At 37.8% G+C, this 21,587-nt stretch overlaps 1 long non-coding RNA gene across 2 annotated transcripts in view; it reads left to right on the plus strand.

The window, feature by feature from the left end:
- Positions 1-21,587, plus strand: part of LOC105372049 (uncharacterized) — a 34,186-nt gene that overhangs the window by 1,201 nt on the left and 11,398 nt on the right. For both annotated transcript variants that reach the window (XR_001753388.2, XR_935334.3), the window contains exon 2: positions 21,012-21,132. This is a non-coding gene — a long non-coding RNA (uncharacterized LOC105372049). The remainder of the gene's footprint in view (positions 1-21,011; positions 21,133-21,587) is intronic.

Below are 21,587 nucleotides of genomic sequence, written 5' to 3' on the forward strand. Positions count from 1 at the left end.
GCTCAGTGGGAAATGTGCTTGTCTTGCAAATCATCACATGTCATATTCTTACCAAATGTTTTCAACACATGACTGAAGGTAACCGTAGTTCCCATCTACTATATTTTGTCCTTTCTGTGTGTTACTTGATTTTCAAGCCAAAATCACATCTTTTCTGTTTTTGTGATGTCTATCTGCATCCCACTTTCAATACCAGTCTCTTCAACATTATGTCAAAAAGCTAAGCTACAGTAATAAAGAGATCCCAAAATATAGTCACTTCTCAAAATAAACATTGATTTGTTTCATATATAACCTAATAGTCCCCAAATGAGCAGTTCAGGGTTCCAAGGTGACTCTGCTCTACATAGCCATCCAGGAATCCAGATCTCTTCCTTTTTTTTTTCTTTTCAGCATCTCAGACTTTCTTTTTAACTTTATGGTCAAAGTTGGCTAGTGAGCATATTTGTGTTCAGCTTGAAGAATAGGAAAATCAAGGCCAGCAATTTTCCTTTAAATTGTGGCAGAAATTTTACGTATCACTGCTGCTCATACTCTACTGGTGAGAACTTCATCACATGGCCATAACCAGGCAGTCTCTAACTTCGTGTGTGCAAAACATTATTCCTAGCATGTAAGTGGACTGGGATAACATTTTATTTGTGATAAGTGATTACAACAATACCACAAGGTAGATTATGTTGCATTTGAGGTATACTAATAAAGGTATCACGTGTCAATTATCTATTACAGGTCAAGAGTGAGTGGCTAGTTTCCTTTTGACTTAGTTGTGTCTTACAGGTTTTTTTGTTTTCTTTACAATAGAGTCTAACTATTTGCCTGTTTGGACAGTAACATATGAGAACTTTTATGCTCATAAAGAATCCTCCTTTTAAGAATTTCCTGGAATAAGATAAAAAATATTATGGTATCTCTATAGGCCAAAGAGAAAATGAAACTTGGAAATGTATAAAAAATGATAATAACAAAGAGGCGTGGAAAAGAATTCTAACTCAAGTTCCTTAACTGAAATCCACAGTTTGACTGTGAGATAAAGCTACCTCCAAGTGTGAATTCACTTCCCCAACATTACAAGACACCATACTGCTTTTAAGCTTGTGAGAATTAAGACACTCTTACAGTGGAGTCCACAATAAATAACAATTCATTGTATGAAATATGAAATATTATGTACCTTTTTGATCATTGTGAAGTTGTTATCAATTTTGCTTTATTTTTAATTTCTTTTAGATTTTTGGTTATACAATGACCCCATGCTGTAATTCTCAAGTATGACTCAGTCATGAGTCCGTAGTAAAAAAGAAAAAATAGCAGGATAATCATCCAGGTAGCCTCCTGTTTCAACCAAGTAGAATTAACAATGCTTTGTTTAAACAAGTCTCATTTTCAGTAGTGAAAGACGGTCTTTTCTGTTCAGTGAGTCATACCCAACCAAAGACATGCCAGAATGATGCAGTGACTACATAGAAATAATACAGGCTCTGTCTTACCTCTCTGAGAAGGAAAAACGCAACCTATGTTGGTTAAATAAGTTTTTGATTAAGTGAGACATTCAATTGCCAAATGAATATAAATTTCTTCAAAATATGTTTAATAGTTTATTTTCTGATTACATGTGTGGCCTTAATTCTGTTGAGTTCAACTTGATAGAATGTCAAATTCAGAGAGATTCATAAGTTTATAGTTCTTATGAAATGTCAGATTACGAGTAGGGTTGTTTTAAAACTCAAGGGAAGTAACACATTTTTAAAAAGAATTGAGCCTACTGATCTCTTAAGAGATTCGATTTTTTAGAACTTTCGTATATCAGAATCTCAGCCAGGCATGGTGGCTCATGCATATAATCCCAGCACTTGGGGAGGCAGAGGCGGGCGAATCACCTGAGGTCAGGAGTTCGAGACCAGCCTGGCCAACATGGCGAAACCCGATCTCTACTAAAAACACAAAAAAATTAACCGGACATGGTAGTATGTGCCTGTAGTCCCAGCTACTCGGGAGGCTGAGGCACCACTTGAACCTGGGAGGTGGAGGTTGCAGTGAACTGAAATCATGCCACTGCACTCCAGCCTGGGTGACAGAGCAAGACTCTGTCTCAAAACAAAACAAAACAAAGCAAACAAAAAAACTTCACTTAACAAGAGTTGGCAAAAAGATCAATAATGAAGTAAAAGGTATCTGACCTGTTAAGTCACTGTCATGAGATCAATGAAGTTAAAGCTCATGCAATTCATGCTTCGAATTTTATATCTTCCTTCAGAAACTGTTTACTTTCAGTTTTCACACTTTTAAGTGTTTTATTAAATCACTTTCAAATCCAGTGATGATTAGAAACAGCCAAATAGGAAAGAGAGTTAAGCACACTGCATATAAATAAAACAATGACTATTCATAATGTTGATCCTGAATTATTAACAAAAGGAGAAATTATATTAAGAGAATGCAATATACCTTTTCAAGATTTTCATCTAATATTTTTTATTTTAATTTTTGATTTCTATCTGAAAATTGAGCCTGACTGAAACCTGTTCTTTTCATATACCGTATCCCTGTATGTTAAAATTCTCTCTTGCAAATAATCAAATTGTCAAAAAATGTAACTAAAAAAAAATTCTTTTCCATTATATTCATGCAATAAATTTAAAAACTGCAACCTAGAATATTAGCCTGTGAACCTAAGCTTGTATATTAAACTATTACCATATGGAATAAAAACGTATAATTGGGTGTTTAACAATGGGTGTTAAGGCCGTATTATTAGCACCAATCATAGTCTTTCTATTTCACTGTTATTTCCACAATATTCTGTTAGCCAATTTAATCTTTATTCCTACTAGAACAAAAGAAAACACATTGGAGATTAAAAGAGAGAACAAAGGTCGTCTGCAAACTGCCTGCTCTCTAGCCCCTATCTTTTATGCCAGGTTATGAGGGCAAGGAAGCGGGTAGTGGGAACAATCCACATAGATTAGGTCTCTGTCTTTGGCTTGCATCAAAATCATCTGGAGAATTTATTAAAATACACCACTGAGCCACAACTCGAGAGTTTCTGGGTCCCAGACCTGAGAAATCTGTATCCTAAGCAGAGATGCTCCCCACACACCATGGCACTGGATGGTTGGGTAGCAGAGGTCTCCTGAGCCTGTGTACAGTGCACGAGGATCACATATGCCCCAGATGATGTGTAGCCAGGATGCACGAGCCAGCCAACCCAGTCTTCTCCAGCTGATGGCCATCTTATTGCTCAGTGCCTGTGTCAAATGGGTTGCTAAATATTTTTTATATCACCCCTGTGCTTACTCTGAATGCTTCAGTAAGAAAACTCTTAAAATTTGCAACATCCAGGGAAACAAATAAAAATTAGCTACTAGATGGAGGATAGCAGCCTTATAGGTTTTTTTTTTCATAGAGAGGGGTAGAATTTATAGCAGATAGGTTAATAAAAATTCAACATGAATAAAACATCTGCTTATCATGTAAAGTAGTTTCAAGCCACCTCAAAATATATATGCTTTTAAGTGGAAGTAATATCCTTGCTGTAATCCACATCCCCTAGGTCTGTTTCCCTATCAGATTGCTATTCTAGCCCTTCCTGTGTAGATGCTCTGTCACTGTCCTTGTAGAGAGCAGTCAGGCCTGGGTCTCTGACAGGAAGAGTTGTCTTAATGGAAGTCAGTGTGTACAGACCCTGCACCCAGTGGCTCACGCCTATAATCCCAGCACTTTGGGAAGCTGAGACAGGTGGATCATTTGAGCCCAGGAGTTCCAAACCAGCCTGGGCAACATGGCAAAACCTCATGTCTACAAAAAGTACCAAAAAAAAAAATTAGCCAGGTGTGGTGGTGCATGCCTGTAGTCCCCGCTGAATGCGAAGATCATCTGAGCCTGAGAGTTCAAGGTTGCAGTGAGCTGTGATTACGCCACTGCACTCCATCATGGGTAACATAGTAAGACTCTGTCACACACACACACACACACACACACGCACACACACACACACACCAAGTAAATGAATGAGTTATGGATTACACCAATAAAAGCAGTTTAATTTGTGGAAGCAACGAACAAGTAAACAGCAAACTAGAATTACAAATGCTGCATGTTTTATTTTCATTTTGTTATTGGCCATGATTTAGTTCATCTAGAAACAATTTTAAAATCAAGCAGAGATTTCAGCACTTATTCATATTCTTCATGTATTGCTATGAGAACATCTTTTTTCTCCTTAATAATCTTCCCCTTAATAATATTCTATCTACTTTCAGAGAGAATATAAACTTGAGACTGCAATTACCAGAAAACACTGCTATATTTTTCAGGGCTACTTTGTGCCCCATGTAGGTTATACTTACTGCTTATTCTGAATATGGCAAAAAAAATGACATAATGAGCAGATTTTTTTCAGGGCAAGTCCAACAACATTTTCCAGCATGGGCCAGATTGGACAAGGACTGTGGTAATAAGTAACCTGTGAAATAACAGAGGGAAGTCATGGAGATTGGAGGTTGGAATTTGGCATGGGAATAAAGAGGAAAAGCTTCACATAAGGGGAGCACTTGGCAAGGCTTGGAAACACAGCAGAGAAGAAAGAAGAGATCAAGATGATTTCAAGTTTCATGCATGCACAGCTGGAAGAGCTGTGAAGTCACTGAGATGGCTGTCTGCGGCCAGCCCACCTGAACGTGCTAGGTGCTGTCTGTGACCAGAGGAGTTAGGAGGTGCGAGTGCAGTTTTCTCTTCTGAGTGTGGTTGACCTTGTATTGGGACAGAGTGTGCTGGGGTGACAATATCACCACCAACAGAAAGGTGCAAACACAAGAATAGTAGCAAGATAAGAGGGCATGATAGAAAATGTTTTTGTGAATCTTTGGCACAGAAGTGAAAGTTGACACCACAAGCTTGAATGACAGTCCCAGAAGTGAAGGAAAAGGTGAACAAGAGAGCAGGGACTGAGCCAGTGGGACTGACTATCAACATGACAAATCTCATTTGGCTTTGTTTTAAATTGCTCTCCAGTTCCATATGGATTTTTTAAAGGAAGGATGAGTTGCTTTTGACCAAAGTCATACAGTACAATTTGTAAATATGGGCTTATTATAGATAGAAAGGTAAATTGGGTTAGAACTAACACTTTTTTGGTTTTCAGTATTTTCATCTTATTACCAAATATTCAACAGTCATTAAAACAATTTAAAAGAAAGCTTTGGACAAAAGTTTAGGCATTAAATTCCCTAAGTATGAGTATCTTCTAGTTCACATAAATATTTGCAAAAGAATTTTTGTCATTTTCTTGGTCCTTACTAAGCACCTCTTGTTTTAAAATATCCAGAATGAACACTTCTATCTCAATATACTTTAAAGAAGGTAATTTGTTAAAAAAAATTAGGAATGATTATTAGGGAGAAAATAAATATTCTCAATAGCAATACAAGAAGAATATGAATGAAAGCTAAAATCTCTGCTTGATTTTAAAATTGTTTCTAGATGAACTAAATTGTGGTCAATAACACAATGAAAATATAATATGCAGCATTCGTAATTCTAGTTTGCTCTTTATTTGTTCATTGCTTCCACAAGCATAACTGTTTTTACTTGTGCAATTGGTAACTCATCCATTTACTAGCACATTCAACATTATTAAGGGCCTAAAATGTGTACCAGACACTTTAATCCCTGCTTCAGGGAGCCTACATTGTTAGGAACATAAGTGTGAGCAAACTCATTAGGTAAATCCAGATGATTTAAGTAGATTGGTCAAACTATGAAAATATCTACATGACAGAACAAAGTACAAGTATCTGTTCCTTTTTAAAAATATTTTCTTATACTAATTAACATACCTTAGAATTTACATTGGGCACTTCTATCTGTCCTTTATTAATTTCAGCATCATGTGTTATTGATAGTGAATACATTTGAGAACTGCACTCAAACACTTGTGTCTATCAAACTTCTGAAACTACTGCAAAAATATGTGCTTCATCTCGCTGTCATCAAAATAAAAAAAGGAATAGCCCTTCTCTGAAAGAAGTTTAATGACCTAATAATTTGTTCCACCTCCAGTGTTTCCCACTGTGCTTACCTCAGAAAACCTCATTTTGATCACATCTTTTTCAGTGTCTATGAAGTTCATTATTTGTTGGTTTGTGTGTTCCTCAGGATTTTAAAAAATCATTTTGAATGATCAGTCTTTTTGTTCCTCCATATTATTCTATATCCTGAAGTCGTTTTGTAGTTATAGCACTTCAACCATCTTTAGCAAGAGAACTCTTGGGGAGGGAGTTAATGAATAGCTAAAATTATGTATGTTTTTTCCTGAAAAGAGTATTCAATAGTTGATGAATGATAAAAAACTACTTTGCCATCTAATATACCTTTGTTTGTAAGAAAAATAGAATGTGATAATATTTGATAATGATTTAACTCAGAATAGTCACATTATTTTTAAGGAGCATGAAATATCTATTCAGACACACATACATTACACATACACACTCTACCCTACTCCCTTGAAAATACCAGTCAACATTTTTTCATTTTTGTTTACCAATCTGTGGTGAGAGAACATAAACTAATATAGTGCTGGCGTAAATAAACTTGATTTAGGATGTAAAATCTGCCATAATGTTGTGCACCGATGTCATCTAGTAATGACTTTTGTGTTCACCACCTTCTTACTTCCAGTGGTGGAAATAGTGATGTGTTGGCGTACATGGCAGGAAAATCATCATTACTTGGGTGCCTAAGCAATGAAACAGCATGAATAGCATACTTGACAATTAGAGAGACAGCAAAAATAAATGAAGCATTAAATTAAACTAGCAGCGGCACTTGAAACAATATACCTGGCATGGTAAGACAAAATTATTCTACTGAAACATTTTAACTGTTGTTCAAGACCTATAAATATCACATTTAAATGGGATAGGTAGGTAGAGCATCCGGCCCATTTAGTGTTTCCAAGGATTGGGAAGCATGCCTAACAGATTTGAATGAAGATTACAAAATCTTCAGCTGAGCGCCAGGATGTTCCCATGGCTCCCTCTTCTTTTTGAGTCTTTTCACTCCAGGCCAGGGACCTGTCTGGCATACTTAGATGAAGAAATATGTGAGAGATATTTTTGTATTTTCCATGTGTTCAAAAATTCATATTTGTTTTACTATTGGGAGCCTATATTAAGGTCAACTGCAATTATCTCTGGGCACTAATTCCCTGGAGTGTAATTTACCTTTCATTAGAATTTCCCAATTAGACTGGGCGCAGTAGCTCACACCTGTAATCCCAGCTCTTTGAGAGGCCGAGGCAGCAGATCACCTGAAGTCAGGAGTTTGAGACCAGCCTGGCCAACATGGTGAAACCCTGGCTCTAATAAAAATACAAAAATTAGCCAGGCATGGTTGGTGGGCACCTGTAATCCCAGTTACTAGGGAGGCTGAAGTAAGAGAATCGCTTGAACTGGAAGGCAGAGGTTGCAGTGAGCCCAGATCATGCCACTGCACTCCAGCCTCAGTGGCTGGAGTGGAAAAAAAAAAAAAAAGAAAAAAGAAAAACAAGAACTTACCAATCAGCATCCACTTGGGATGGGTATATTTAAGCTTAACTGTTTAGACAAAGTTTGTTCTATTTTCTCTCTGTTTCTGAAGAACCGTAGAGCAACCAAGTAAACTACCAGTTACTATGTGTGGAAGAAGCCTTCCACAGAAGAAGGTTGAAAAGTGATTCCAATTTCATCAACTTCCTAATTACTTCCAAAATTAACTCTTCATGTTTGCCACCATATTTGTGTTAGGAGTTTGTATATGTTTCACGTCAAACTCTGGATTTTAGGAGAAGTAGGAATATAGAAAGACTAACCTAGAAGAATTAAACAGACTGTGAAATAAAGATTAGTTGGAACCTCAAAATTCATTTCTTGGGAAAAAAAATTTAACTGAGCACTTGCTACATGCTGGGCACTACACTAAGCATACTATATAGATCATCTTATTTTATTTTATTTTATTTTATTTTATTTTATATTTTATTTTATTTTATTTTATTTTATTTTATTTTATTTTATTTTATTTTATTTTATTTTATTTTGAGACAGGGGTCTCACTCTGTTGCTCAGACTGGAGTGCAGTAGCCCCATCACCAGTTGCTGCAGCCTCAACCTCTTGGGTTCAAGTGATCTTCCCGCTTCAGCCTCCCAAGAAGCTGGGACTATAGGTGCAAGCCATCACACTCGGCTCATTTTAAAAAAGAATTTTTGGGGGCTGGGTGCAGTGGCTTACGCCTGTAATTCCAGCACTTTGGGAGCCCGAGGCGGGTGGATCATGAGCTCAGGAGTTCGAGACCAGCGTAGCCAACATGGTGAAACCCCGTCCCTACTAAAAATACAAAAATTAGCTGGGTGTGGAGGTGCACACCTGTAATCCCAGCTACTCGGGAGGCTGAGACAGGAGAATAGCTTGAACCCGGGAGGTGGAAGTTGCAGTGAGCCAAGATCGTGCCACTGCACTCCAGCCTGGGCGACAGGGTGAGACTCCATCTCAAAAAAAAAAAAATTTTTTTAGAGATGAGGTCTCGCTATGTTGTCCAGGCTGGTCACAAACTCCTGGGCTCAAGTGATCCTCCTGCCTCAGCCTTACAAAGTGCTGGGATTATAGGTGTGAGCCATCGTGCCCAGCCAGGCTCAAGGAGGACCAAAGAGGACTTTGGTCTTCACAACAATCTTATGAGTTAGATAAAATTATTACTTCACATTTCAGATGAGGTACTTGAGACTTGGCTACACTGAGTAGCTTTCTTGAAGTCATACAACCAGTAAGTGGTAGAGGCTTATTTGAACCCAGGCAGGCTCTCTTTCCAGAGTTGGTGTTCTTAACCATTGATAGGCTGCCTTCAAGGACGTCCATTATTGAGACCTATGCAACACTTTGGAATCCTTAGCGAAAGACAGACTAATAGTCATAGGAAAGGAGTGGAATTTGTTAACATTAGGCATCTATATTTAGTTACTATATTATGAATTGTTCTTCAGAAGCAAAGCACTTACTGGGTAATGGTAGGCATTTACAACTGCTTTTTCATAAAGAGATGAGCATGAAAGGAACCAAAGCATTATGTTATACCCCATGAGCCTGCTGAAAGAGTAGGTGAGCCTGCCTTTCTCATTCCCAGAACCCAAGTTACTGGTGTTGAAGAAGTGGGGCTGTATTTGTCTTTGTAGAGAAAATTCTAGTCCTCTGTCCCAAGCTTGACATTTTTTCCATTCATACTCTTCTTAATCATCATTTATATTCTCATGGAAACATGAAAAATCAGATAAAATGAATTTTAAATAAGCAAAGATATAGTTGCTTAAGTTAACCAATATAAACTAGAAATAATTTCCCAAATAAGGATGCATTCAGTATCACTTCATAACTTAAAGGTGTACTGCTCCATTTTACATTATTTTTATTTTTATTTTACTTTAAGTTCTGGGATACATGTGCAGAACATGCAGGTTTGTTACATAGGTACACATGTGCCATGGTGGTTTGCTGCACCTATTAACCCGTCATCTAGGTTTTAAGTCCCGCATGCATTAAGTATTTGTCTTAATGCTCTCCCGCCCCTCAACCCCCAATCCAACAGGCCCCCCAGTAGGCCCCAGTGTGCGATGTTCCCCTCCCTATGTCCATGTGTTCTCATTGTTCAGCTCCCACTTACGAGTGACAACATGTGGTGTTTGGTTTTCTGTTCCTGTGTTAGTTTGCTGAGAATGATGGTTTCCAGCTTCATCCATGTCCCTGCAAAGGACATGAACTCATTCTTTTTTATGGCTACATAGCATTCCATGGTGTATATGTGCCACAGTTTCTTTATCCAGTCTGTCATTGATGGGCATTTGGGCTGGTTCCGAGTCTTTGCTATTGTAAATAGTGCCGCAGTAAACACACGTGTACATGTGTCTTTATAGTAGAATGATTCACAATCCTTTGGGTACATACCCAGTAATGGGATTGCTGGGTCAAATGGTATTTCTAGTTCTAGATGCTTGATGAATCGCCACACTGTCTTCCACAATGGTTAAACTAATTTACACTCCCACCAACAGTGTAGAAGCATTCCTATTTCTCCACAGCCTTGCCAGCATCTGTTTTTTTCCTGACTTTTTAATAATCGCCATTCTGACTGGCATGAGATGGTATCTCATCGTGGTTTTGATTTGCATTTCTCTAATGACCAGTGATTACTAAAACCAAATATATCCAAATTCTAAGAAAAAGCCTTTACCATCCTTTTTTCCCTCGTGTTTTCTTTCTTTCTCACAAGATGCCCCGCTTAACTTCAACATAACATAAATGCATTCAGCACCTTGAAACCTCATGCTGTGTTTGCAAAGCATCATTATGGTGGCCCAGATTTCTACTCTTACCTTCTTCTTTAAAATTGTCCACTCTTTTTTCTTTTCTTCAAAACTCCCTTTTCTCAGGGAGATTGATACATCATACAGTCTCTGACTTAGAATGTTTTGACTTAGGTTTTTTCAGTGTTAAGATGACAGAAAGCAATATGCATTCTGTAGAAACTGTACTTCAAGTATCCATACAAAAATTTTGTTTTTCACTTTCAGTACAATATTCATTAATCACATAAGATTTTCAACACTCTATTATAAAATAGGCTTTGTGTTAGGTGATTTTTGCCCAACTGTAGGCCAATTAAGTGTTCTGAGCATGTTTAAGGTAGATGAGGTTAAGATATGATGTTCAGCAGGCCAGTTATAGTCAATGCATTTTCAACTTAGGATGGGTTTATTGGAACATAACCCCACTGCAAACTGAGGAGCATCTGTATCCAGCAGAAAATAGGTCTCAATAAAATAATTCATACTAAGGTGTGAATGAAATAATTCACACTAAGATATGAATAACTAAAAATGCTACTAGCTATATGTAAAGTGCACTGCCTTTAAAGTCAGACAGACTCAAATTTGAATCCCGTCTTTTCTCCCATTTACTAACTAGGAGGTTTCTCTAAGTCTCAGTTTCTTCATCTCTGTAGAATGGTAGGAATGACACCTCGGAGGTTTGTTGCAACAATTAAATATGACCATATTTATGCAAAGTATAGTGCCTGGACACTCTGGATTACAAATACATGCCATTTATCTTTTAACTTGAGTCTACGACAATATTTAAACATACTAAAGAAGGAATTTGCTTGCACACCTCAATCTCAAATTGGTAGTGCTTAGGGGTTTTGTGTTTGTTTTTTTGGTTGTGGTTGTTGTTTTGAGACAGGATCTCACTCCATCGCCCCAGCTGTAATGCAGTGGTGCCATCATGGCTCACTGCAGCCTAGACCTCCTGGGCTCAAGTCATCCTCCTGCCTCAGCCTCCTGAGTAGCTAGGACAATAGGTGTGCCCCACCATGCTTGGCTAATTTTTTTATTTTTTGTAGGGACAGGGTCTCACCATTGCCCAGGCTGGTCTTAAACTGAACTCAAGCGATCCGCTCACCTCAGCCTCCCAAAGTGCTGGAATTACAGACAAGAGCCATGACACTTGGCTCAAATGGTAGTGTTTTAGTGTCAAGTGTTGACGTCATTATTAGATCACCCAGATTATTCTACTTCACTCTACCATAGGCTTTACAGCTATTATTTGGTAGTATGGATATTCATAAAACACATGCTATAAAGAAAATAGCTTTAGAGGTAGTTAGCAATCCATGCAACAAACCATTGGCTGGATCACTTCCTGCTTCAGGCACCATGCTGTGGCCCTTGTTACAGATAAAGGCACCACAAGCTGTGGAAACAAGTAAAGTAAGCATCCAATCCAATCCTGTTGGAGAGGGGCTAAGCCAAGAGCCTTTAAAAATCATGTCAAAATTTTAATTTACTTGTTTTCTGTTTTCTTTACTTATTTTTATTTGTAAAAGACATGGTCTTACTATGTTGCTCAGGCTGGAGTGCAGTGGCATGATCCTAGCTCACTGCAGCCTCAAATCCTCGAGCTCAAGTGATCTTCCCACCTCAGCCTCCCGAATAGCTGGGTGTATTTTTTCAATTACACCTCTCCTTTTAAGATTTAGGTAAAAGATACATGAAGGCACAGAATTCCTGCCAAATGAAAGTTCCCAGAAAACCATGTGAAATGATGGTTGTAAAAGGATTTACTTCTTAGCTCTTTTTTTGTCTAAGCAAATTATATTCAAGTAAGAATAATACTTAAGAAATCAAGCATGCATATGCTTTGGTTTTTACAGTATAAGGAAGGTTGTTGATGGTGTGCATGTGCCCACACCTGTGTGTACAGTCTCCAAACAGGGCTTTATTGAGTAATATTTTGTCATGATTTTCCCACAGTAACAAATGGCATATTTCCAACTTATCTGCATTTATTCAGAGTTTAATAGCACCACATACAGAGAAACTTTAAATCTACCTTTTGAATGGGATGTTTGAGGAAAAGTTATATCATGTTCTTCAGTTCATTTTTAAATATAGTTTTTAAGGATGAAAATTAAAAGAAATCCCATTTACTTTATCAGAATATAAATTGTCTTTTCGCCGTCCTCTGTATGTATAATTTTTATGTAAAGTAAAATTCTGTCTTCAAATGTGGCAATATCTCTTTAAAAGTCTTCACCAAACAGCCAGCAAACCAGCTTAGCAACTTTCCTGGGTGGATTCTTAGGTGAATCATTAGCCTTGAGCAATGAAACTGTCCAGCAACACCTCCTTTTGAAAGCTTTGATCTGTCTGAGACTGCAGGAGTCACAAAAGAGGTGTTTGTTTCATGCAGCTTCAGAATATTGACAGGGAAAAAGAATCTCCTTTGTTTCAATGCACCAGCCTTAGGCACCCTGGCGGTGGTCTCTGCAATTGCACTGGATGGAGGTGGAGATGCGGGATTCTCCATTCCCAGGGGGCTGTTGCTGTCTCACTATCTGCCAGTCAGGAAATCTTTTCTAGTTTCTCAGACCCCACCTTCAAAAGCTGAAATTACATGACTCATATTTATTTTGATACCATCAAAGTTTTGCTGACAACATGAAATTTTTGCCTGCCCTGTATTAACAAGTATATTCCTGAAGTCATTAGAAAGATTCAGGCCTTGGGTAAGCACTTAGAAATAAAAACTTAATTTATTGTTTGCACTAGTTCCCCTCTTTTCCCCTCCTCAAGGTGGCTATTTGGGGATTAGCAAATTCTGTGACAAAAGATGGTCAAGTGTAGATACCTAGAAGAAGTCACATCCAGCAATTCCATCAAAAGAGCTCTCTAACCATGTTCCCATAGTGACATGTACCAATATCTTGGGTAAAGGGCACACAGGTGAATTAATTTGGTAGTGGATTTTTATAGACTGTACAATACACTTGACTCTTTGCCAAAATATGAGTGCCTAATTGCTGTGTCTTTGGTGAACATGCCAAAGATTCAGTGATTTTATTCACGTAGGAGGAGGAATGATTTGGGGGAGTAGTTTCAGTGGACAGGTTTTATTGTACTTACTAGATAATAAATTCTTTGAGGCAAGAAGAGTGTTATTGTACTTTTTGTATTTATCACAACACCTAATGAGGTGCCTGACTTATTGGCAATCAATTAATACTATCTAGACAAATGGACTTGAGCAGGTGACCACCTGAAACTAACTAGCACACAATAACAAACACTTGAGCTGCACAGAGACCCAGGTTCTTATCCTGATTCATTCATTTATTGTGGTTTTGGAAAATTTGTAAATCACTTAAATGTACAGGGATTTATGTCTTTTAAGGTATGAAAGCTATGCTGGATAGAGGTGCTTTCTGAAGTCTTTTTTTTTTTTTCATTCAACAAACTTTAGCGCAAAGTAAAAGAGACAATGTTTCTGCTTTCATGGAGTGTATACAATGGGTGAGGGGGTGGGAAGGAACAAGTAAAAAGCAAGGTGATTTCAGAAAGTATTAACTGCTGTGCAGACCATACAACAGGGGAAAGAGATAAAGAGTTAAATCCCCTAAGACGGTCCTGGCTGTTTGTTGGCTTTATTTTTAATTTCTCCTTTTTCTCTAAATAGAAATCAACAGACTTTCTTGAAAAGAGGACTTGATTATCAGAATCAACTGTGGAGTGTTTTACAAATAACAGGTTTTCAATGCTCTACAGATTTTACAGGGATGTAAACCAGAACCCTGAAAGCTCTAGTGTCTTCACAACAGTTCCCTTGAAAACACTGGTACTGCTAGGGGAATGAACAATTTACATATAAATAATTTATATTTTAGTTGTCTCTAAGTGTGAGACTGTAAGAAATTCATTTTGAAAACCACTCAAAGGTTTCCTGATTTTCATACTGTCCTTAGCCGATAAGCTCTTAGACTGATTTGACTTCTAAAATACCTTCTAACTTGAATTCATTTGAAAAGCCCGAAGTGTTAAAACTCATGGATTGAGATAAATAACCTTCCAATGGAGTCTAGCAAATTGGAAACTGGACTTGGTCTTTGATCTCAGGGAGGTACGCGTACTACAGACGGGTCATTGTGCTTGCCCAGACAGGACACGAGGTAAGACTTCCTTACTTAAACTTGACACATACAGCATGGTCAGAAACAGCAGATGGGGTCATTTGTTATCTTTAACACTGTACGCCGGCCCAAGTAGGGCAGGACAGTGGGAATCCCATAAAACAGAGCCAGCTTTCATGCTAGGAGCAGTACTGTAGTCACCCAATCATACGGCAGAAATAGTAAAGGTCATGCTTCCTCCACAGTGGTGAGGTGCAGCAGCTTCCTTGGCAAATGACTTCTGCGTACTCTCCCCACATGGAGGAGATTGGTCATGCAAAGTAGGTGTTTTCAGGGTACAGGAAAGCTTTCCAAGATTGCTTCTAGAAGCTATGGCAAATGTATTTTCAATTTAAATGTATCTTCCTATTATCAGCACTTTAAATTTGCCATTTATCAGAAAGGGCCTTTTTCCTCTTTTCCTTCCTGCATTTGTTTTCTGTGTAGGTTTGCTTTTTGTCTGTTTGTTTTGGCCTTTGAGGAATGTGACTTCCTAAGGTCACCCTGGAAAACAAAGAAGCAAAACAAAACAAAAAAAGAACTCCGTTTTCACTAAAATGGAGTCCGAAGATGTGGGTTCAGTGCTTTATCTGGCTGTCTCTGTAACCTGGGGATCACATTCGTCTCACAGGGAAAGTTTTGTGAAGATCAAATAAGAAATAATTTGGATATTGAAATGCTCCCCAAGGTTCAAAGACCTGCACATTTAGAATGCTTGGCAGCCCCTGGTCTTTTTGTGTGTGCTGCACTTGGGACATTTATCAGAATCTGAACACATCAGAAACTGACCCAATGATAGAAAAGAACTGGAACTAGGGGTGATCAGAATAACCTCCTGAGAAGGCCGTCCCAATGGAGAAAGGAGTTAGTGTCCTGAGCTTTGTGGTCCTGCACCAGCTCTTGGCTAGTCTGCTGCTGAAGTATTCTGTCAGACCTGAAGAAAAATAGAGGGCAATAAGAATCGGTACTGACAAACAGGCCCAGGCACCACACTCCCGAAGACCAACACCATAAACAATCTGCCTGGCAGGGTTAGAGTCTGTAGAGGCTGGGGAGGCAGTAGTACCCAGAGAAAAACAACTCGAAAGTGGAACCTTTTGAATAACAGCCCATCTCACAGTAGAGTCCTTTACACCAACAAAAACGAGTCTTGGTCAGTGTCTCTAACATACGTTTAATTTCCTAGACAAATCTTGCATCTCTTCATGATTTAGCTTCTTGTTTACAATGCAGCTTTCTTAAATGGAAAGGAAACTGCTGAATCTCAAATTGCTGTGTAGTTTGTCAGACAATGACATCCTTCACTGCCAGCGTTGAGCACACTCCCTTTTTAATCCATTTTGCCTGATGAAGCATAGCATTTTCTGCAGCCTTCTGAGCTGTTAAGAGAATATTTCAACTGCAAACACAAAGAAGAAATGTTTGAAGTGAAATGAACTATGGGCTAATCGGGAAGGGCTTGAATGAATGTCAAAATAAGAGCTCACCTACTGCACATTTTTAAAAAGAAGTCTATGTTAATGGAGTCAAAACACTGGCTTCAGTGTTTTATCTTTATTGATGAAATTACCACATTTGAAAAGTAAACACTATTTTATTTTATGTCTGATAGAAAATATATATACGCTATGGAAGAAATTTTGAAAATACAGAAAAGCAAAAACAAAATGATGAAATAAAATAATCTTTAACTTCCCACATTCAGATGTGAAGCACTGCTTATATTTTGTTTTTATGATACAAAAAGAAGTCTGTAATGCAAGCTGTCCTTCCCTTAGCAGTCTGACAAATGTATTGCATTGGTGTAAAAGTAATTGCGGTCTTTGTCTTTACTTTTAATGGCAAAAAACACAATTACTTTTTCATCAACCTAATATATTTGGCTCGAGTTAAAAATATTTTTTAAATGATTAAAAGTAAACACTAATCTAGCATATAGGACTTACAGCTTAAAAATATTAAATACACAAATTTTCTGTCCTCAGTAAGCTAACATCTCAGGTTTTATATGACTTATATGAATGAAATGACAATGTGTTATTTTTGAAAGCTTATTCAAATAGTAGGAGAGGACATACGAAAACAAAATATGAGGTTTGGGGGCTTGACTCCTCCCTGAGAAAACGCAAGAAGCTCTTTCTCAGAGGAGTCATACCTAAATAGCCTGTGTGGGTGTGGTTAGTGTTTTTATTTAAGTGGGCGGGGAATGGAAGCTTCTTTTGGTCTTGCTGAACATTTAGCTTGGATTTGTTTTATTTATATGGCTACCTAGTTTTTGCTCTGATGGTATAAACCCTGGCTTTTATTTCAAAGTGTTTTTATTTCCATTTTTTAATTTAAAATAATCCCATAACTTCTTTAGTCTCAAGAGCCTATCCATGTCAACCTTATTAGTTCCTACTTGTTAATACTTTTAGAAGTTTGAATTTAGTTGGTACTTTGGATTAATGTCCTAACATAAAATATTCTATTTTATACCATGCTTGGAATCCGAAACTCTTATTCCAAAATGAAATCTGACATCTCACCAGCAAACCTTGTGCCTTGTATTTATATTGTAGAATATCTTAGAAACCAGTCCACTGGTACTGCTCAGTAATTATCTCAGGACAAGTAGGTGCTATTGATTTGTTAGCCACCGTTGTCTTAAATTAAACTTGGATAGTGATATATGGGTACCAGGTTAAATGTTCAGAGGAATGATGCTTAGAAGACAGAATGAACAGAATGGAAGTTGGAGGATCTATTAGAAATGGGTCTAGATAGGACACAGAAAACAGGAAGTGGAGACCAGATGCCCTCCCACCCTCCCCGACAACCCCAGAAAAAGATGGCTCAGATAGAGTGAGTCTGGCTGATAGCTTTGGTCATTCAGCTGCCACAGTTTGGTGTATGTTTCCAGAAAACAGGAAGTAAAGCAGTCCTGACAACAGCCATAGACAAAAGCTCTCAAGAATTAGAAGAAAAGAGGTGCTTATTAGCCTAGGAGCTTAGCTGAGCAGATTTTCCTCTAAGACTCACATATGCAGAAAAGCTGGAAGACTGCTTGCAGGAATGAGCCTTGCCTGAAAGCCCTGGAAAGAAAGAAGGAGCCAGAATTCTTGTGTGAAAGAAATAGGCTTTTTTGGCCAGGCGTGGTGGCTCACGCCTTAATCCCAGCACTTTGGGAGGCCGAGGTGGGAGGATCATTTGAGCTCAGGAGTTTGAGACCAGCCTGGACAACATGGTGAAACCTCAACTCTACAATAAATACAAAAATTAGCCGGGTATGGTGGCATGCACCTGTAGTCCCAGATACTCGGGAGGCTGAGGTGGGAGGATCACTTTAGCCCAGGAGGCAGAGGTTGCAGTGAGCTGTGGTCGTGCCACTGCACTCCAGCCTTGGCAACAGAGTGAGACCCTGTCTTAAAAAAGAAAAAAAGAAAGAAAAAAAGAAACAAGCTTTTTCAATTAAATTCCACAGAAATGATAAATCTTTGCAGTTGTAACAATATATAAAATGTGCAGTTCATTAAGATTTTAAATATTTGTATGCCTTAAGCAGTGGTGAAAAACGAGAATTAAGCCATTTAGAAATACTCCACAAGACTAATTCCATAAAAAAATTTATGGACTACAGAATAGAGAAAATGCTTTAATAATGGACAATATAGTTTATTGTCCCTCTCTTGGGAGAGAGGTAGCTTTATTCTCTAATAATTAATTTAGCTACCTTTAAGACAAGTCAACTGAAGAACACGTCTTAGTTTTTCTTTCTTGCTCATGATAGAAAAAGTTTCTAAGAAATAAGCCTCTGTACTAAATACTAGTCAAATTCTGAAAGGCCCAGTCACTGGTAAAACTAGCACCACAAGTCAGAGCTGCTAACTACCGCTTAGGTACTAGAACCACCTCCCTTGTGAAGTGTTAATGGCCTCAGCCCAGCTCCTAGCAGACATCTGTCTACATCACACACAAAATAAATTTAAATTGGCAGTGTCTGCAGAGAAAATGACATTTCATGGATGTGGAAATAAACCAACCCTTCAGATAAGAAATGACCTCACATTCTAGAGATAGTCTCTTCAGGGTGAGCTCTGAGAAGCCAAACTTTTTCAATTCCTTTCTCACTATTTCCTGACCCATAAAGAACAGACAAAACAAACGATGCCCTCAGACCTTTTGCAATAAGAAACACATCAAACTCTATGAGCAATTAGAGCTATTGTGTAATAGTGGTGATGCACGTTTCTAAACGTATTTCCACTTCTGTTTTACCTCAGTTAAACACTCATATATTCTCCTAATGGTATGGGATAAGGGGAACCGTGCAGGTGTCAACTATAATTATTGTTTTCCCTGTTTTTAGTCAGAGATATTTGTCCCTCACCTCTGTTGAAGAAAACATACATAACCAGAATGGCAAATAAACTGGTTAGCACTTTGACATACTCTAAATATTCTCTATCAACATGACCAATGCATTACAAATGAGCAGCTACATTTTAAAAATATTGATGGAAACCTCCAACAGTATCTTTGCTTCCATTTCGATTCATGCCACCTAAGATATAAGCACTATAGGTAATATTGATGAGAATAAACAATACCAAAGCATCTTTTGCACATTATCCCATTTCAGCTTTCTCTTGGATGTTATCGAGTAGTAGTGTAGATTATTCACATTACCAATATGGGTGATAACTCACCAAAGTTTTTTGTTTGTTTGTTTGTTTGTTTTTGTTTTTGTTTCTGTTTTTTGAGTCAGAGTCTTGCTGTGTTGCCCAGGGTGGAGTGCAGTGACACGATCTTGGCTCACTGGAACCTCTGTCTCCCAGGTTCAAGAGATTCTCCTGCCTCAGCCTCCTGAGTAGCTGGGATTACAGGCACCTGCCACCACGCCTGGTTAATTTTATTTATTTTTATTTTTTATTTTTTGTATTTTTAATAGAGACAGGGTTTCACCGTATTGGCTAGACTGGTCTTGAACTCCAGACCTCAGGTGATTCGTCTGCCTCGGCCTCCCAAAATGCTGGTATTACAGGCGTGAGCCACTGCACTTGGCCTCATAAAAGTTTTTTAAGCAAAACTAATGGACCACAGAGTTATTCATTCTTGACTCTAAGCATCAAACTTATACACATACTTGAGGTTTGTATATGAACATGCATGAGCCTGCAGGGGAAGGCTATGGTGTTAGAAATAAAAGTCATTCTTGTTTGCCAGAAATGTATATCTGAAACTAAGTCACTTAAATTAGTCAAGAAGTCTCCAGAGAAACAAAACCAAAAAGAGATTTAATATAAGGAATTAGCCCCCCTCCATAATTGTGGGCAAGTCCCAAGCTCTCTGCAGGGTGAGTTGATGAGCTGGAGACCCAAAGAGCAGATGATATAATTCCAGTCTCAGCGCCAGCAGACTTGAGACCAAGGAAGAGCCAATGTTTCTGTTTGAGTCCAAGGCAGAAAAAAACCTGATGACCAAATTCAAAGGCAGTCAGACAAAAGGAGTTCCCTCTTACTCATAGACAGTCTGCCTTTTTCAGGCCTTTGACTGCTTGAATAAGGCCCACTCACATTAGGGTGAGCAATCTGCTTTACTCAGTCAACCAATTCAAATGTCAATCCCATTTGAAAACACCCTCACAGAAACACCGAGAATGATGTTTCACCACATATCTGGGTGTTCCATAGCCCAGTGAGGTGGACACAAAATTAATCATTATACCAACACTAGTATCAATACTGTTAGGATGATTCCTTTTCATCAGTAATGAGCCCAGAAATATGTTAAGATACGGATCAAATAGAAGATCATCATTCATCATATTGAATAATCTATTGATGGAGTAAAAATTGTTTCCTCTTCCACTGATTGTATTATAGGTGGTGTTTGGTGAGCTATACCTGTCATTTAATGCAAAAAAGAATTCAGATGATGCTGGGAAATTTTAATCACGAGTGTTCTTTACATAATAGGTATCATGATGGCAGTGAGGTTTGGAGTGAAATGTGTGGAGTGGGACTGAGGGAATGGTTCCAGGAAGAAAGAAAGCAAAAATAATGATAATAATAAAATAATCAGGTTGTTTTCTCATGGGAGCAAAGCAGGCATCCGTTTTTTTCTGCCTGAGCACAAGACAAACACCAAATAAACAGCAAAAGTTACTTAAAAGCCATTTCTTCAATTTCTCCCAAATAAGGCCAGAATTAGTTATAATTGAAACAGAAAAAATGTACAGACAGAGTTCCAGATATAAGATCAGGATATTTAAAAACAATGGAATCCAGTCAATGTGTGAAAAATTTTTCAAAAGCTTAGGTGTCAACTGGTCAAAATTAGAATTCTGCATTGATAGGAAATTCTTCAGTTTATAAATCTTAACAAAAAATGGTTCCCTTGTTTTTACCAGCTAGAAGGAAATCTAAGAAGTTTGACTTTAATTCCTTCAAAAATACAGAAAAATCATAATCTTCTCTATTCCTGTTTGTTACATAAGTTACAGATTCACATGAAGTCCCAGGATAGCTTCTGTCGGCTTTGGTGGCCTGTTGCAGCAGCCAGCAGCAGGAAACTTGAGGAGCTATCATCTCAGGAATGAACGGGGCCACATCAATAAGGTAAAACTAAGGTCACTCAAGTCCTAGACCCTCATTTTGCCTTATTTTTCTCCCAAGGGATTTTTAAAATACCATAAAAATTGAACCATCAAAAAATCACGAAATAAACATGTTTGTAGTAATCATTAATACCATTCCCTAGACACTAAATAAAATCCCACATACATTAATCAAAGAAAATACTTTTTTCATTAGAATTCTAAGACGACACTTTCATCAACTTTCCTAAAATCTAAAATTTAATCATCCTTATTATTGACTTTTCACTAACTTGTTTCCTACACTGATTTATAATTATTTATTCCATATTCTATTATGCTCACTAGATGCAGACATTCACTGCATCCTATTAATTCCGACATTGAATCTATCTTTAAAGGTATTGTTACTCTTATTATTGGAATGGTCGAAAAAAAGCAAAAAAAAAAACAAGAAATATTTACAGTTACATTATT

Source organism: Homo sapiens, chromosome 18 (assembly GCF_000001405.40).
Source record: "Homo sapiens chromosome 18, GRCh38.p14 Primary Assembly".
Lineage (NCBI taxonomy): Eukaryota > Metazoa > Chordata > Mammalia > Primates > Hominidae > Homo > Homo sapiens.